General features: G+C 36.1%; 1 protein-coding gene across 14 annotated transcripts in view, besides 1 other annotated feature; it reads right to left on the bottom strand.

The window, feature by feature from the left end:
* Positions 1–18,757, bottom strand: part of NBEA (neurobeachin) — a 730,467-nt gene that overhangs the window by 33,828 nt on the left and 677,882 nt on the right. For all 14 annotated transcript variants that reach the window (XM_047430271.1, NM_001385012.1, XM_006719803.4 and 11 more), the window contains one exon: positions 10,661–10,828. In XM_047430271.1, the coding sequence (XP_047286227.1) occupies positions 10,661–10,828 (168 nt within the window). The remainder of the gene's footprint in view (positions 1–10,660; positions 10,829–18,757) is intronic.
* Positions 8,046–8,095: a silencer, noted in NCBI's record as "silent region_5262". NCBI's record gives its function as "represses an Ori minimal core promoter by ATAC-STARR-seq in GM12878 lymphoblastoid cells {active_cell/tissue: GM12878}" and the evidence as "EXISTENCE:reporter gene assay evidence [ECO:0000049][PMID:35858748]".

Raw genomic sequence — 18,757 nt, 5'->3', positions numbered from 1 at the left:
GGCATGTTGAATTATAATGGTGATATTACATAACTGACTTAACAAATGAATGTGAAAAAGTAAGCATCATTTCCTCCGGAGAGAAAATGCTCCATCCAGAATATTTTCTGTCCAAATCAGATCAGTGCCATCAATGACAAGCTCACTCAATTTCTCCACTTAAAATAAGTATAAGTCAACTCAGGTAGGAAGAGTGAGTGCATTTTAATGTAGCTGATTGTGGCTGAGCAAGCCTGGAAGCCTTAAATAAGTCTTCTTGGCCTAGAGAAATGAACAACCCAGGGGGAACAGACCAGTGAGCTGGACACCTTCTTTGGCTCTGGAAGATGCGCCTCCATAGACCTGTGCTCCCTTGCTCTCTACCTTCCCAGTGGGTTCAGCCAATGACAGAGCTCAGGAGCAGAGACAGGATTATATGGCCCCTCTCTGCCAAGTCCCGTTTTGGCAGTGCCTGGCCAGTACTCCTCTACCTAAGGCCACAGCTCTTGTTGGGTGAGCACTTTTATTGCCAGATTCTGGGAATGGCTCCCTTTCCTTGTCGCTTTCCCTTGTTCATCCACTTTACCATGTCTATACCTTTGTAAATAGAACCATTATTAAACTCTCTTCATTATCCTTTAAAAAAAGTTAATTGTGGTAGAATATATATAACACAAAATTTACCATCTTAACCATTTTTAAGAGTACAGTTCAGTAGTGTTAAGTACATTCACACTATTGTGTAACCAATCTCCAGAACTCTTTTCATCTTCTAAAACTAAAACGCTATATTTATTAAACAAAAACTCGCCACTCCCTCTAGTCCCTGGGGGTCACTATTCCACTTTCTTTCTCTATGATTTTGACTCGTTAAGATACCTCATAGAAGTGGAATCATACAGGATTTGTCTTTTTGTGACTGGCTTGTTTCACTTAGTATTAATGTCCTTAAGGTTCATCCATGTTGTAGCATGTGTCAGAATTTCCTTCCTTTTTAAGGTTGACTAATAATGCATTACACACACATACACCACCCCACATTTTGTTTATCCATTCATCTATCCACGGACACTTGGGTTGCTTTCAACTTTTTTTTTTTTTCTTTTTTGAGATGGAGTCTTGCTCTGTAACCCAGGCTGGAGTGCAGTGGCGCAATCTCAGCTCACTGCAACCTCCGCCTCCCGGGTTCAAGTGATTCTCCTGCCTCAGCCTCCCGAGTAGCTGGGACTACAGGTGCCTGCCACCATGCCCGGCTAATTTTTGTATTTTTAGTAGAGACGGAGTTTCACCATATTGGCCAAGCTGGTTTCAAATCCCTGACCTTGTGATCCGCCTGCCTCAGCCTCCCAAAGTGCTGGGATTACAGGTGTGAGCCACTGCGCCTGGCCTCGACTTTTGACTATTGTGAAAAGTGCTCCTGTGGACATAGGTATACAAATGTCTCTTTGAAGCCCTTTCTCTCAATTCTTTTGGATATATATCCGGAAGTAGAATTTGCTGGGTCATAGGGAATTCTATTTTTAATTTTTGAACGATTGCCATATTGTTTTTCCTAGCAGCTACGCCAGTGGTAGCATTTTATATTCCTATCAATGGTGCACAAAGTTTCCAGTTTCTCTACATCCTCACTAACACTTGTTATTTTCTATTTTGATAGTAGCTAACCTAATGGGTGTGAGGTGGTATCTCACTGCAGCTTTGATTTGCATTTCCCTAAAGATGAATGATGCTGGCACATACTTGTTGGTCATGTGTATGTCTTCTTTGGAGTCTTCATTATCGCTTTGAAAGGTAATGTGCTGAGATCCTGACTGATACAAATAGGATTGTTATTCAGGCACAACAAATGAGAGAAATGCTGGTTACCTTTTGCTACATGTTGGGGTAGGAATGACCAAAAAAAGATTATATCCAAGCAAGGGGCATTTTCACTGAGGATTTTAAATATTTCAGAGATAAACATTGTAAGCAGATAGGAAAGGCTGTAGAGTCTCATTGCAATAAATATTTGTTGATACTCAGGAAGAGAACTGAAATACTCTTTTCTAGATGACTTAGGGATTCGCCTACCTGGAAGCGAAGATTTTAGCAGATGATCGCTTAAGGATTCTTCCAGGTTTCTGGTTCTTTGCCCACTTTGGGGTTAATCATTAAATGGTACCTAAGTAGAGGACTCAATCCACAAATCCTTTACCACAGGTGAGAACAATCAGTATGACATCCCTGCCAAATTTTCCCTGGTTGAATAAGTTTATATAAACTAAACTCTATGCTGGCTGATTCAGGAGGTGAAGGAGGAGGAAAACAAGTTGAGGGGGAGGTGGTGGTGTAGGAGCAGGAACGAGAGAGAAGTGGTGGCCTTTATAAGTTCACTAGAAGTGTTTAATCATGGGAAAATATTTTTTTAAAAAGCTGAAATAGATTTGTTTGGTATGTGGAATGACATTGAGACACAGGTTTACCAGGTGCTGGTATAAATATTCCAAATTGAAATCATATACTTTTAGTATACTAAAGTGAGAATAAAGTATTATTGGACGTATTCAGCAGAACAAAATATTCTTGATTTTGACATAAATGGGCAACAGTAATTTAGATATACTGTACTGAGACTTCAAATGGCTTTAAATAGGCTCATTATCAATATGTTTAAAATGTTTAAAAATGAGTTCTAAATATCTAACTGAAATGTCTAGGTACTTAGATTGAGTAATATCTATTTCAACAAATTGAAGTATGCAATATGTTTTGAATAATTGTTAATTTATGCTGAGGTAACAACTGTGTTATAGAAGTGAAATCTATGTTAATAGAAGATAAGGAAATCCCTTCCAGCTATTTCTATTATAAACAGCAGGCTGCAATTTTCACCCTTCTTCCCTTGAGTAAAATATGGCTTTAGATGCTTGTGAAAGTACTTGCTGTTAATTTCTGAAAATCAATAATTAGCACTTCTCAACACCACACAATAAAAATAACACAAAGCGAAGAAAGAAGCACAAGTCACATAAATGACATACATCCAACTTTGACTAGCTGCATTATTTATGCTTTTCTAGTGGACGATTGATGACCATGGCCTAGTGAAGTACTGCAGTAATTATGAGCAGGTAAGATAGACCTAAATTAAAGATTTATTCACTAATCAAAATTAAATGTGTGTCATTAATTTCCTTGATACTAATTTCTATATTAAAACCTTATTCATCAAACCTTTGCAATGCAAGCCTTATGGCTCTCAATGAAAACCTTTGCAGTGAGAAACACATAACAAATATATTTGAACCTATATCCTTATTAGTTTTAGGAATCATGGTATTTTTCATGTTCCCAAAATGATCCTTTAGCTTTAAAGAACACCAAATACGTATTTTCACTCCACTAATTAAAATGTAGGGGTTTTCTTTCCATTTTAATTTGGCTTTTGAATCTGTTAAAATTTTCATCCCAGTAAAACATGCAGTAATTATAGGGGGAAATTAAGATGGTTTTAAGAAATCTTAATCACCCACTTTGTGATCATTTGTTGCAATCACTTCTCAGAATAACTGCCCAGGAGAAGAACCCTGGATATCCCCCATATGAAGACAATTAGGCATCATGGCAGTTGTAAATGGATAACCTTGTGCTACAACTCATTCACGCAGATCGGGCAGGTGGTGTTGATATTCCTTGTCATATCAAAGAGAATCAGAAATGGGGGGAGGAAAGGCTGAGGAATAAAGGATTCATAGAAAGAATAAAGAATAATAGAAAGAATTCAAGGAAGACAATGATTGTAGAGGTCCTCAATGTTGTCATTATGGGCCCTTAAATTACCCTTCATTTACATCATCAGGATGAAAAAGTGTGTTAATTTTTTGTCTTATAAATTTTATGAATTCATCTTCTCAGAAAAGCCAGCATTGCAGCTGTTTTGGTTAAAGACACATCTATCTTCTGGTTCTTGACAGCCCTATCATGTCAATTCTCTGTAGTAGCAAGGAATATTTCAGCAAGAAAATAAAGTAAAAACTGAAGTAATCTAGCCTACTTCCTATGGGCATATTTTCACCATAGCCGATCCAAAGGGAGGCAGTGTTATCCCTGTCAGATTGAGAAAAAGATAGAAAAAGAAACTATAAGCTAAGAAAGCCAAGAAATATTAACAGAAAATTAGACTAAAAATGCCACATTTTTATGACTGTTGGTAATATTAAAAACTACTTAATATTTTAATATTTCCAGCATAAATAAATGTGTATATCTATAAATAAATATTGCAATGGCTCACATGTTCTAATAGCTGCCAGCAAAACAGCCTTTTATGATAGACTTATGTGCATACCTCTCACCGTTAAAAAGAAGCCATTGAAATCATTTTCAGTCTGGCAACGTCAACTATAGAATGATGACAAGTATTATGACAAGTTCAGAACTTAGTATCTTGTTAATAACTTGTCTGGTATATGCTTACAGCTTCTGTTGAAATACTGACTCAATTTTTTTCTCTTGCTGAACCAGTACAACTTTAATGCCAGTAATAGTGTTGCTAATTCATTTGATAATATGAATACAAAACTAATGACACTAAAGTAAAACTTTTTTTTCAGATAGTCTCACTCTGTCGCCCAGGCTGGAGTGCAGTGGTATGATCTTGGCTCACTACAAGCTGCGCCTCCCGGGTTCACACCATTCTCCTGCCTCAGCCTCCCGAGTAGCTGGGACTACAGGTGCCCGCCACCACGCCCAGCTATTTTTTGTATTTTTAGTAGAGATGGGGTTTCACCGTGTTAGCCAGGATAGTCTCAATCTCCTGACCTCGTGATCTGCCTGCCTCGGCTTTCCAAAGTGCTGGGATTACAGGCATGAGCCACAGCGCCTGGCCTAATGTAAAACTTTTAAAAATATAAAGGATAATAAAGGATATAAATGCTAATACTAATTTAGATCAAGAAAGAATGTTACAGGCAATAAGTGGGCTGCAATTAGGCCATCTTTATAAAATTTTGGAGACAGTATTGAAAATAAATTTAAAAGCCACAACTGCTTCTTTTTACTAAATAATATTAAAAACAAATTAACTTATTTTCTCTGTTGCTAACAGATTTTTTAAAATTAAATTGATAGTTTTGGTGTCATATATAATGAAATTATTAAAACAAAAGTTCTTCTAAGATAACTTCATTTAATTATGCCTTTAGGTAATAATGCCTGTGTAGTGCTTTATAGTTTAAGTATTTTCACATATTTTTCTCCCATGAATTAGGTATCATCTCTGTCATCAATTTTTTAGGTGAGAAAATACAGGTACATAAAATTCAAGTGACTGACTTAATGTCACTCAAATACTAATGGTTGAGCTGTGATACAACTTATAATATCATTCCCATCTTTCTATCCATTTTTGTTGCCTATGGCATACAATATAATCATACTCTGAGGCAGACAGGTCTTGAACTCCTGACCTAGTGATCCACCCGCCTCGGTCTCCCAAAGTGTGGGGATTACAGGCGTGAGCTATCACGCCCAGCTGAAAAAATTATTTAGGCCGGGCGCGGTGGCTCACGCCTGTAATCCCAGCACTTTGGAAGGCCGAGGTGGGCGGATCACAAGATCAGGAAATTGAGACCATCCTGGCTAACATGGTGAAACCCCATCTCTACTAAAAATACAAAAAATTAGCCGGGCGTGGCAGCAGGCGCCTGTAGTCCCAGCTACTTGGGAGGCTGAGGCAGGAGAATGGCGTGAACCCGGGAGGCAGAGCTTGCAGTGAGCCCAGATTGCGCCACTGCACTTCAGCCTGGGCGACAGAGCGAGACTCTGTCTCAAAACAAACAAACAAAAAATTATTTAATGAGAGTGTTAGCTAGATTAATGGTTTTTAATTGGGAATGTGTGTGAAATTCCCAGATAATTTTTTTTTTTTTTTTTCAAAATAAGACTTGCTTCATTGAAGCCTTTCCCTGGATATTCTGAGATGCCCATGTGATGGGGAGGATAGAGTGGATGGGGAGTTAGATGGGTATGACATGTGTATTAAAAATAGTACAGGGGGGCCGTGCACAGTGGCTCATGCCTGTAATCCCAGCACTTTTGTAGGCTGAGGCAGGCAGATCACCTGAGGTCAGGAGTTCAAGACCATCCTGGCCAACATGGTGAAACCCTGTCTCTACTAAAAATACAAAAATTAGCCAGGTGCGGTTGTGGGTGTCTATAATCTCAGTTACTTGGGAGGCTGAGGTGGGAGAATTGCTTGAACCTGGGAGGTGGGGTGCAGTAAGCCGCTGCACTTCAGCCTTGGTGACAGAGTGAGACTGTCTCTGAAAGAAAGAAAAAAAATACAAGGGGAGGGGTGAGGTTTTGATGAAATGGTTTTAAATTTTTGAAATTGGGTGATAGGTACATGGAGGTTCATTATACCATTCTCTGTACTTTTGTAGGGGAAAAAAAAAAAGCTTTCCAAATGATTCTAACACACCTTTAGTAGAGCAGTGCTTCTTAAAAGTTAATGTCTCAAACAAGTTGCCTAGGGATCTCATTACATGTATTTAGTAGGTTGGGGAAGGCTGAGAGGCTGAAGTTCTAGCAAGTTCCCAGGTGATGCTGATTCTGCTGGGTTATGGGCCACATTTGAGCATCAAGGTGTTAGAAAACCATGGGACTAAATGATTACCAACCAGAATATTCTCTTTCCTAAGCAGGTCATAGGATGAAGTTTCTTGGTCATCATTTAGTAAGTAAAAATATAAATCAGATCATATACTTTTTATTAATATATAAAAACCGATAAGAAAAAATATTCTTTATAATGCTTGAAAAACTGCTCAAATAGTACAGCTCATCTATGAAAAAAAGTGCATAGAAGATTACGATGTAAGCCAAGACTTTAGACAATTTAAATAATATCTACTATCCAACAGATCTAGTGTTTACATATTAAGAAGAGCTTTGTACCAGAACTGTACTGTCATGTTTCTGCCCAGAGGCTGTCATGATAAAGTTTATTATCAATTACTGCTTTACAAGTATAAAATAAGTTAAGCTGTCATAATTTTCTCAGCCAGAGTTCCTAAACTGTCAAAGAATGTCAATTTTCAATCTGACATAGAGAAGAAAATTATCTGTTATTCTGACCTCTAATTTCTTGACATTTTAATGCCATAATTGCTGTGGTTAGTGCTGCTTCATGATTTCACCTGTCAAGAAAGAATGAATCAATAACCTTAAGCCATTTCTCAAACTTTAGCACTAACTTCAAAACTCAAAGTTATAGGCAAGTAGTAGAATTTTTTTTTTTTTTTTTTTTTTTACAAAGGAGACATATATAGATATTCATATATTAAATATTTCTCTTTTTAAATTAGTGTTTAATTTAAGCATGAAAAAATCCATCTTAGGCTAGATGGAGTTTAGTGTAGCCATAATTAGCCTTCCTTTGGTTTTATCTATATGAAATGTACAATCTTTGTATTTTAAAAATACTAAGATAAACATTATCAAATAAAATAAATGTATTGAGCTCAATAAAAGGGTTAATATCTTAAACTCTGCTTTTTCCAAGAGTCTGTGTCCAACCACTTAGGTGGGAATCAACTCTCTCAAGTCGCAACACAGCAGTACAAGACCTCCAGGAACTCAACAAGAATGTTTTAAAAAAAGGTATTGTGCCTCCCACATGGTCTACTCATAGGGGTTGTATATAGGTAAGGGTGCATAAATGACCACTAAATAATGAATATGCTGTACTTCACTCCATTTTATCTGGGTTCTTTCTTATAACAATAGATGTATTTACAGAGAGAGCAACTGAGGTAAAGTGAGATTGAATGACTCGGCCTCACTTACCCAGCTCACAGGATTCAGGTGGGCTCTCGTCCTTTGGAGGACACTATTCCTCACATTCTTAAATGTTAGTGCAGAACTGTCTTTGTGGGAATCTGTTAGCTTCTACTTGGCTAACTGGCATTAACAGCAATGGGAATATGTTAGAGGGGGGAATGGTGGGAAGTGGGAAAGGGGAAATTAACTAGCATTCCTTGAAATCATTTAATCTGTTATGTCTACACTGTACTAAATGGCCCCCTAGTGGTCACAAGGAGATAGAGGCTCTTCCTAAGCAATCTTGAGTCCACACAGGTCCACAGGGTCATGGTAAACCTCTCTGCTGATGTGTGCTCAGGCCTCTGGGGGCTGGGGGAAGGGAAGTAAGAGTATTCCAGGTATGCGCTCCTTCACATGTATCGTGTTCTAAGAACTGACACAGAATTATAGGGTTGAGGAAGTGGGCAAGGGGTCTGGGGAGAAAGAACATAACATTTCACAGTATGACTCTGGGTCTCTCTAATGAAACCTGAGTGTCTGGCAATTATGTGCTTCGAATGAGCATGCTGAAAGGAGACAGAGTCCTGAGCTGAGGCACCCTAGTAGCAGAGAGTCTGCATCACTAGAAGGTCATGAAGCTGTAATACAAGATATTGTTCAGACCATCTATATAATATGCCAACATATGCTTGAATCATTCCCATTCAACAGAAGACAATTTTTAATTTTTAATTTTTACATTTTAAATTTTACATTTCTATGTAATGTTTCATTAAGAAGTTCTACATTAACAAAGCCTTATACACAATTCTTTCACTGTCCAAAGCAATGATGTTATTTTGTAGAAACAGGTATTTTGATAAGATTCAAATAATGAACACTGTATCCATGTAAAGAAAATTTCCATTTTAATTTCATTTTCAAATTCTTTCAGTTATCTCTTTTTAAACCCTCATTTAAATTGGACAAACCTGCTATTTTTCTGTCAATTTTAATGCTGCCTTGCACTTTCATCACATATAAGATGCTTAATGTATTTTATTTTGTATTTAATTTATTTAATTTATTTTATTTTGTGTTTAATGTATTTAATTTGTTTTGCCCAACAGGATTAACTTGCAACTTTCTTTATAAGAACAGGACTTTATTATAATGGGTAAAAATGTATAACAAAATATCCAAAAGCAAAAATGCCTATGACATTTAGAAGTCAAAAGACAATTCAGTTGATCTTAGAATATAAGGATGAACTATTACAACTGTTTTCTTTTTTTCTGATTCTAAAAGGTATTAGCCTTAAAAGAATAGTTTATAAAGTATTTAATAAAACAGGCATGTAATAAGCAAGGGTGTACAGTTGAGACTAATTAAGCTCAGAATTATCTCCTACCAAATAATCTGATTACAATTTATACACAACTGGGGATACTCAGTTGGGTGAGTGTAATGATTTGTAGAGAAAATTCCTTATTTCACCAGCCATTTCATAACACCTGCCTTCTCTCTCATTCATTCATTCTGTCTCTATGTTTTTCTCTTGGCTTCAGGCAATAATTTTATCTTGTGTGCACACAATATGGTACAATATTGCCCCTAATAATACGCTTGCAACGTGTTCTCAGAATATTTTGCCCTAAGGGTCCAAGGATCAATGATTATGAGGCTCTTCCCTTCCTTTTCCTCTTCTTTGCTTGAACCATACAAATGGAGTCATTTTAATTTTATAGAGGTATATAAGAAATAAACTTATGAATGCAAATTTTTCTGTAGAGCTTCATTGCGCCCATCTCCAAGTTTTCCACCTTTAAAATAAAAAATAAGAAAAGCATTCCACTGGCTGGAGATGCAGAAATGATTACTTGTTTTGCATACGACAGATGGCAGATATCTGGTAGAATGGAAGACTGGGATATCACTTCCTTGAAGCAACACTTATGTAGCAGCTGTTGCATCTTCACTCTTTCCACTTATCTGAAATCATTTTGTGCAATGTAGAAATGATTTAAGTAATATTTTATATGAATATTTTCACTAAAAATACTATATACATACTACAGCACATAATTCCCAACTGTTAGCTATAAACATTTCAGATTGAAAACACATAAGAATAAAATAGCATAACTGCATCTATTTCATTCATGCATGTTTTTGAGTATTCTGTCTAAAAGGTAGAAATATTCCTTTTATTTATATTTATTATTTTTTTGAGATAGGGTCTCGCTCTGTCACCCAGGCTGGAGTGCAGTGGTGCAATCTTGGCTCATGGCAACCTCTGCCTCCTGGGTTCAAGTGATCTTCTCACCTCAGCCCCCACAGTAGCTGGGACCACACAGCTGCGCCACCACACCCTGCTAATTTTTGTATTTTTTGTAGAGATGGGGTTTCAGCATATTGGCCAGGCTGGTCTCGAACTCCTGGGCTCAAGCCATTCACTCACCTTGGCCTCCCAAAGTGCTGGAATTACAGGCAAGAGCCACTGAACCTGTAATCCTAGCACTTGTGCTGTTATTTTTAAGAATAGCCACAGTGGCAGATTATGTTAATGTGGAATATTCCTATTTAAATATTCAGCTAGGTTTCACTTATTACTAAAATACGTAAAGCATTACATATTTTAATGTAAATTTTGAAGTAAGAAAAACAAATATACAGATATAGAAGTATATTTAAAGTGTCTGAAATTTAAAAAGGAACCACATACTGGTTGCATTACTTGTTTTGGGACTTTTCAATTTTTCCACATATGTCAAGAACCTGAAATCTGTTTTGTAAGAAGTTATGTTGAAAACAAAATTATACAGAAAGAGATGAAATGTCAAATTTGTGTTTGAGAGATGACAGAAATTTTTGGAATAATATGGGATTTAACACCTACCTCCCTGAGCACAGGATCAGTGATACTATCCAGGTTCACAGAGCCTTCATAAGTCAAGTAGTGAAAAACATTCAGAGCACGAACTGCTTCTGGTCCTCGCTGCTTATAGCCAAATATAAGGTCGATCCACTGATGAAGTTGGCAAGAAACAAATTCACTTTCTAGGGCCTGAAATGAGTCAAGAAAGAAATGAGAGACCATCAAAACTTAGTACACCTTCATATCCTTTTATTTTTTTTTTACTTTGAAATATATATAAAAAGGAGAATATGCTCTTTAAATTTCTGTACTTGATTTATATGTATCAGATCTTCAGTTCCTAGAAATGGAAAAATACTACCTCAGTAGTATTTTACAGACACCTAAATGAAAGTACAGAGACCTAAATGAAAATTTTCCCTTTCTAAAATGCTAAACTTTCTCTTGGCTCCATTAGGTACATAATATGATTTAACATAAATAAATTTCTTATTAAAACACACTCATGTTTAAAAGAAAAATAATTTAAATTACCTTTTTTAATACCATGTTACAGTTTCATTTCTCATTTTTAAATATTAGTTTGAAATTAAGCAATTTTATGAGAAACTCTGATATACATTTATTTTCCTGCCTGAAGTCCTCCAGCTTACCTCTGAGATGACTAGAAGGGAATATCTTTCTTCCACTATGAATTAACTCAGCTATTACACAGTTTGGGAATCACTGGGCAATTTTGGATGTTTGCTAGCTAATGGGAAAGAAATATAAATTACTGAGAGTCAAGGCCCATACTAAGTTTCCATAAACAGAAAAAAGAAAAAAAAAAGGCCTTTTTATTTCCTAAGAAGCCATCAGAAGCTTCCTAGAGGTGTCTTGACAGGTAGGTAGGGAGTCTTGCTCAGGTCCGTGAAATAAGTAGTGATGGTGCATGGCTCACTACGCCTCTCACTTACTGCAGTCATTTATCATCAACTTCCTAGTGATTTAAAGAGGACACTGATTTCAACAACATGGAAAAGAGCTGTACATCTAGCTTTGTAAATTTCAGCTATTGCAGAGCCATGTAAGACAATTTTCTAAATTACGGCGGTCACTAAATATGTGAACAAAGTCATTCTCTGTGATTTCCATGGTGTTGAAACCAATTTGGAATTCACTTAATGAATAAATGATTTCTTGAATTAAGATTGCCAAAAACTGCTTTTCATTTTTTAAGTATATAAAATATTATAAATAATACTTTTCAACTTTTCCTGTGATCACATTTAACTAGTAATTTATTCCCTTCAATCCCTTTCCTGATTTATTCCTTTCAAAATTTTTTGTATTTCATCTACACCAATTAGTGTGGATGTTTCTCATTCAGCAATGTAAACAATGACATTTTATGAAAGAACAGTTTCCATACTAAAGGCAAACAGAATTTCTATATTGTCTATCTCATCGATCTTGAAATAACAGTTCAGAGTAGAACACAGGAAATGAGTCTGAAAGAAGAGATGGTTAAAATTCTGTATTATGTCTATATTAGTTTGGTCAATTTGTATAAATGATTTTGTCAATTCTCTATAACTATTCAATTAAGAAAAAATGTCAGTCTAATTATTTAGTAATATTTTCAGTGTCTGATGCAATAAATGAAGGGATTTAAAAAATGAGTAAATAGAGGTTCATTATTGAGTAACTACTGCTCAAGTCTATTCACAGGAATTCAATTTAGTTATGGAATCAGATAAATAATTTAAAGGAAGATTTTACCAACATGATCAGCTAAGCGCATTCATTACAAATATATCTTATAGATACCACTAAAGAAAGGTTTGATGAAATTTACTATTATCTCTATTAGAGTAAAACCATTATTGAATAAAATACCTAATGGAATCATGAGTGGTAGTGGGAATGATGACTTTTCAATAATTTGAGCTTTTAAAATGTGTTTTTTCTCTTTTATCTCCATCTCCTATTTTCATTTCCTTCCACCACCATGGGCAATAACTATAATGTATTTAATGTTTCTCCTTTTGTTTGCATGTGCCCTTATAAAATATTACTCATTCTTTTGTGGATATACTTTTGAACTATAAAAATATATAGGGTTAAAAATTTCATTTTGTTCCTTACTTTTCTCACTTAGTATTATTTTAAAAATCTACCTGTGTCACTGTGTGACTAGCCCATTGCTTCTCATGGCTGCACAAAACTCCCCTGGTAACAAACACCAGGCTACCTCTAATCCCCATGACACAAGCCTGTGATAAATGCCCCTTTTGGATCTTTCTGAGAATTTCTTTGGGATTTATAATCTGGAGTAGAACTGGGAGTGCATACTTAATGTGAGTCATCCGTGCCCACTCTCTAGCAATGCATGACAGTTTCTATACGTCCTTATCTCCATCAACTGTTAGTATTATCCAGGTTTCTAATTTTGGCCAGTATAAGAGATACAAAATAATATCTCATTGTTTTAATTTGTATTCCTCAAATTACTAACAGATTTGACATCTTTTTAATATGCTTGTTGGTCTTTTGGGTTTCCTCTTCTGTAAATTTCCTGTTCATATCCCTTACCCATTTAAACACTGGAGGTTCTTGTCTTTATATTGTTGATTTATATATTTAATTTTATTATTATTATTTTTTAGACAGGATCTCACTCTATGGCCCAGGGTGGAGTGCAGTGTTGCGATCTCAGCTCACTACAACCTCCGTCTCCTGGGCTCCAGTGATCCTTCCATCTCAGCCTCCCGAGTAGCTGGGTGGGACTACAGACATGCGCCACCGTGCCTGGCTAATTTTTGTATTTTTGTATTGCAGGGACAGGGTTTCGCCATGTTGCCCAGGCTGGTCTCAAACTCCTGAGCTCACGTGATCCGCCTGCCTCGGCCTCCCAAAGTGCTGGAATTACAAATGTGAGCAACTGCACCTGGCCTGATTTATATATTTTAGATAAGAGTTCCTTGTTGGTTTGAAACACTGCAAATGCATTCTCCCAAATGTCATATATCTATTAACTTTATCCATGTTCTTTGTTGGATATATTTTCTTAATTTTGAGATCATCAAATCATGTTTTAAAAATGTTTATGCTTTGAGGTTTTGTCTTGAATTATAGAGATAAATATATTTGTATCATTTAGCTTTATATTTATGGTTTTACTTTTCATATTTTGATCTTTAATTAATCTACATCTACTTTCATTCATATATGATATTAGATATGGGTCCAGTCTTATTTTTGTTTATAAAGTGAGTGAGTTTTTCCAATACCATCTATTAAACAAAAATTCCTTTTCTCAGAGATGTATGGTATTATCTTTACTGTGTAAATATATATTTGAAACGAAGACATAAAGCTGCCGTTATTTACAGATAATATCATAATCTACATAGAAGCCCAGTCTCCTTCCTCCTTTTCTTTTGCTCTCTCTCCTATGTATTTATCATGTCTAGATATGTGTGTGCCCAGCTTTCTATATTTTTCATTTCTATTATTATCTTAATTTATTTTATCTTTATATTCTTTTGCTCTCTCTTCTATGTACCTATCATGTCAACGTATGTGTGTCCAGCTTTCTATATTTTTCATTTCTATTATTACCTTATCTTAATTATCTTATTTCTTACATATCTCAATATGTGCTAGAATTTATTCTTTTTTTCAGGATAAACTAGGCTATTCAGGAACATTTATTCTTCTTTGTAACTTTTACATTAAGTGCATAGATATATCAAAAGAATTTGATTGGAATGCCAATCAATTTATACATTAATTTGTGAACACTGACACTAGGTTTTACTATCCAAGGTCCCCAAATATCTTGATTTATACAGATCATTTTCTATGTCCTTTATTAGAGTTAAAAAATAAAATTTTCTCCATAAAAGTTTTATCTTAGTGTTCTTGGTTAAGTTTATTCCCAGATACTTCATAAATTTTGATGCAACTGTAATACTTTGAAACTATATTTTATACTTGGTTATTAATGATGTAGAACAATGATACTGATTTCTAGAAGTTGATTGTGTTTGTAGCCACTCTTAGTAGTTACACCTACAACTTTTTGTTTTCTTATAGAATTGTTCTTAGCCTTAAGAACTATGTAAAACAGCAGTGGTGATGTGGAAAATCCCTATCTTTTTCCTGATCTTAAGGGTTAAACTCTACTTAGTCCTGATGCAATTCTCACACACACACACACACACACACACCCACACACACACAGGCATATACACACACATTTAATAACATTGATAAGAATTCATTTAGAATTTTTATATTTATAGCCGTACATGAAATAAGCCTTATTTCTTTTTCCTCCCCTTCACTGTTTTTGGAATTCTAGCCTCATAAAATTAGCTGGATAGCTTTCCATGTTTCCTGGAACAATTTGTATAAGAAAATGAATTCATTATCTGTTGAAAATTTGGTAGAATTTACGTGTAATGTAATATGGGCCTTGAATTTTGAGGAGGGGATGGGAAGATTTTACCATTTAAATTTCCATAAGCCTTGTAAGTCTCAATTTTGACATTTTAAATATTTTTCTCAGTATTCATCCATTTCATCTCAGTTTTAAGATTTATTAGCTCATAGATGCTCATAATAGTCTTTAATTAAATTAAAAAATATTTATGTCTATAGTTATTTACCCTATTCTATATCTTAGAGAGGCAGCATAGTGAATCAATAAATAATTAATTATAGTTAAATAATTTTGTCTTTTTTATTATAAAATTAAATGGCAAAGGAACAATGAGGTAAGAGGTTAAACAAAGTCTTGTCGATTTTTTATCTTGCCACTTACTGTGCAGAAAGAAAAGAAGATACAGTTTACACATTTAAAAGCTAAATCTAGTTCAAAATTAAATGAATATCTAAGAATGGAACATTAGCTATCAATAATTAAAATATAACAACTTGTCTAAAGCTGAAGCCTGACATTAAGACTCTTTACTATAAACAGTATTGACCGGTCATTGGTATCTGTTTATTTTGTTCTTTTCAGAACCATTTTTATATACAAACCTATTTGGCACTTTGAAACGGGATTTTTAGTACAATACTTACATTGGAAAAATGTAAAGAAATACTTGATTACTAAGCTATTAGTGTCATAATGGTCTTAATAGCTTTCTTTACCCTCTACTTGCATATCTAAAGGCAGAAGCAATTGCGTTAAGCCTAGATAAACCAATTCCCAATCCAGAGCTCTACCCTGGGGATCTGGAAAGAAGGAAATAAAGAGTGATATTTAAACTAGAGAGGATATCTCTTAGATGGATAATATTTCCCTCATTCTAATTTCTATTTTCTCCCATGAGTATTGGATGGTACAGAATTCTTTCTCTAGCAGGTTTGGGGTAAAGCTTCTCCGAAATTTATGAAAAAAAAGAAAGTAGACTACCAAATTTAACTGTGAGGAGACAATATTTCTCCTGAATTTTAAAATTTAAGAATATTAAATACCCATGTCTTCTTCTAGATCAGAGCAAAAATATTTCCCATCCCTTTTTCTCATTACGTCAAAAATCTGCTTTTGAGATTAAAAAATTCTCTAAATAGAGTTGCATATATTCAAGTAGATAATCAGAAAGCCATATTGTCACTTCTGTAGTGTCTATGCCATCTTCTTTTCATAATTTGACTGAAGTTGTAGCTATTACAACTTCAATAATTCAACTGTTTTAAGTAGAGACAATATAGTTGTCTTTGATGTTTATTTTAAGGGGCTTAAATTATTCCAGTACTTGACTGTTTCTGGATGTATAAGACAGAAGATTATTTCTAACCCTCACAGCTCTCCACATGGGTTACTACAACATACTTCAAACTTCTTCTGAATCCAGTCTGTCTGGTGTCCTGCTTGTGGGACAGACTTGTCAAGCCATCATGTCCACATTGCCATTCTCTTTTTCAAAGCTGCCACTGCTCCTCCCAGCATAACCTATGTGACTCAGGCCTTTCAAACCTCCATCCCACCTTTCCCCACTGTTTCTCAGGACTTCCTGATATAAATCCTTAGCTTCCCCAGCACAGACACTTCACAGCCCTTGGGCACACAGCAGCTGGTATGACCTCAGAGCTTTTGCTTTCTTTCTCTCTAGCTTGAAAGCATTGTCTTCCTGCTTTTTGAAGACCTACTCATCCTTCTTACTCAAGTTCAGTGTTTGCTTCCTGTGTTCTCAGCTCTCACTTGTTTTTTTCTATGAATTTCTACCCAACACTTTTCATCAGTATCCTCTTGTTACTTAATAGAGTAAGATAACACATGCAAATTTACTTGTGAAATCATTTTACAACAAACTGTGAGGTACTGTACAAATGAATGGGATGATTGCCAATTAGCACTTCATTGTTTCCAAAGTTAATACTATATCCTCAATTAGAATGTAAGCCTTTTGAAGATAGGGACTTTATCTAATTCTTATCTTGCATTTCCCACAACTCTTAACCTATCATTGGATAATAACTGTTTAATAAATATTTATAGGTTTATTAATTAAAGCAGTGGAAAAGATGTGATGATCACAAGAGGAAGGAATAAAGGAAATGTCAGTAATGAGGGCGGGGCTGGGGAAGAAGCTCATTCATTCACTCAGCAAATATTGATTGGCCATCTGCTTTGTGACAGACCCTCTTCTAGATTGTAAGATTATAGCAGTGAACAAAAAAACCCAAAGTCCCTGCAAGAGAGTTTACATTGTACTGGGAGGAGACCAACAAAAACTAACATAATTAGTAAGATACAGGGTGTGTCAGCAGGTGACAAGTGCGAAGGAAACAGAAAAGCAGGATGGGGAGTAGGGTGTATGTGTAGTGGGGGAGGATTGCTAGTTTAGGGGAGGAGGTCAGGGAAGGCTTCTCTGAGTTTGTGACAATTAAGGACCCCAGTGAAGAAATGAACTATAAAGACATCTGGGAGAAGGGCATTTCAAACAGAGGGAGCATTCATTCATTCAACATGGAGCACCTGTTATGTGCCAGGCAGTGTTCTAGGCCCTGGGATGCTGTGACAAACAAGACAAAACCTCTGATCTTTGGGAGCAGATCCCACTGAAATGCAAATAAACAAGGTGAATATAGTCTAATATCTCTCCTGCCCCAGATTACTGACCACCAACCATATGTCAGACATTAGCCTTAGAGGACACATAGATGAATAAGCATTCGATGTCCTGAAAAAGATTACAGTCTAGCGGAGGATAAACATGTTGACTCTGGCTTTTTCCGCTGCTTAGAATTTCTGCTAAAGGGCCAAGTTGACAACAGGCACTAAACACCCACGCTTTCATTTTAGCTGAACTCTCTAAAATGTTCTGCTAAGATGGATTTATCTATCTCTGCTGCTGTAGCCATCACTACTCCGCATGCTCATCCCCAGCCCTTCACCTGCCTCTGTAAGACTAGAGATACCTGAGGGAAAATGGCCACTGGTAGGAAGTCCCAGGGAGACTATAGGCTCAAATTTTAAAATACACCCAGAATCAATAATTTCTTACTACTTTTACTGCTACCCCTGGTCCAAGCCACCATCATCTCTCAAATTACCTTCTAGCAGATCTCCCTGATTCTACCCTTGCAGAATCATTCATTCCCAACACTGCAGCCAGAGTGATCCCTTCAAAACATAAGGAAGATCAGTCACACTTCCACTCAAAAGATTGCAAGGACTTTACATTTTACTCAGGGTAAAAAGGCAAAGTACTTATGATGGCCTTCAAGACCCTGTGTGATGCTCCCCCACTACTACTCAGTCCTCTTGTCCTACTGTGTGCCCACTTGCCCACCCTTTCCTGGCCCACTGGCCTCCTTGCCAACCACATCCCTGCCATAAGGCCTTTGCTCTAATGTTCCCTTTGCCCACCATGCTCTTTCCCCAAGAGAGTCACTTGGCTCCCTCCCTCTGCTCCTCCAGGCCTACCTCTAATCTCCCTTCATAGGGAGGCTGTCCTGACCTCTCTCCCCTGCAGGTACTCACAGTCTCCTTTTCTTGCAGTGGTATTTTCTACCACCGGTCACCTTCTAAGATACTAGATATTTCACTTTTAAAAAATTGTCTATCGCCTGTCTCCCTTTGATCAAAAGTGAGCTCCAGGACGGCAGGGATCCTTG

This window comes from Homo sapiens, chromosome 13, assembly GCF_000001405.40.
Source record: "Homo sapiens chromosome 13, GRCh38.p14 Primary Assembly".
NCBI lineage: Eukaryota > Metazoa > Chordata > Mammalia > Primates > Hominidae > Homo > Homo sapiens.
The sequence above is the reverse complement of the archived record's forward strand: the minus strand, read 5'-3'. Positions and strand labels throughout refer to the sequence as shown.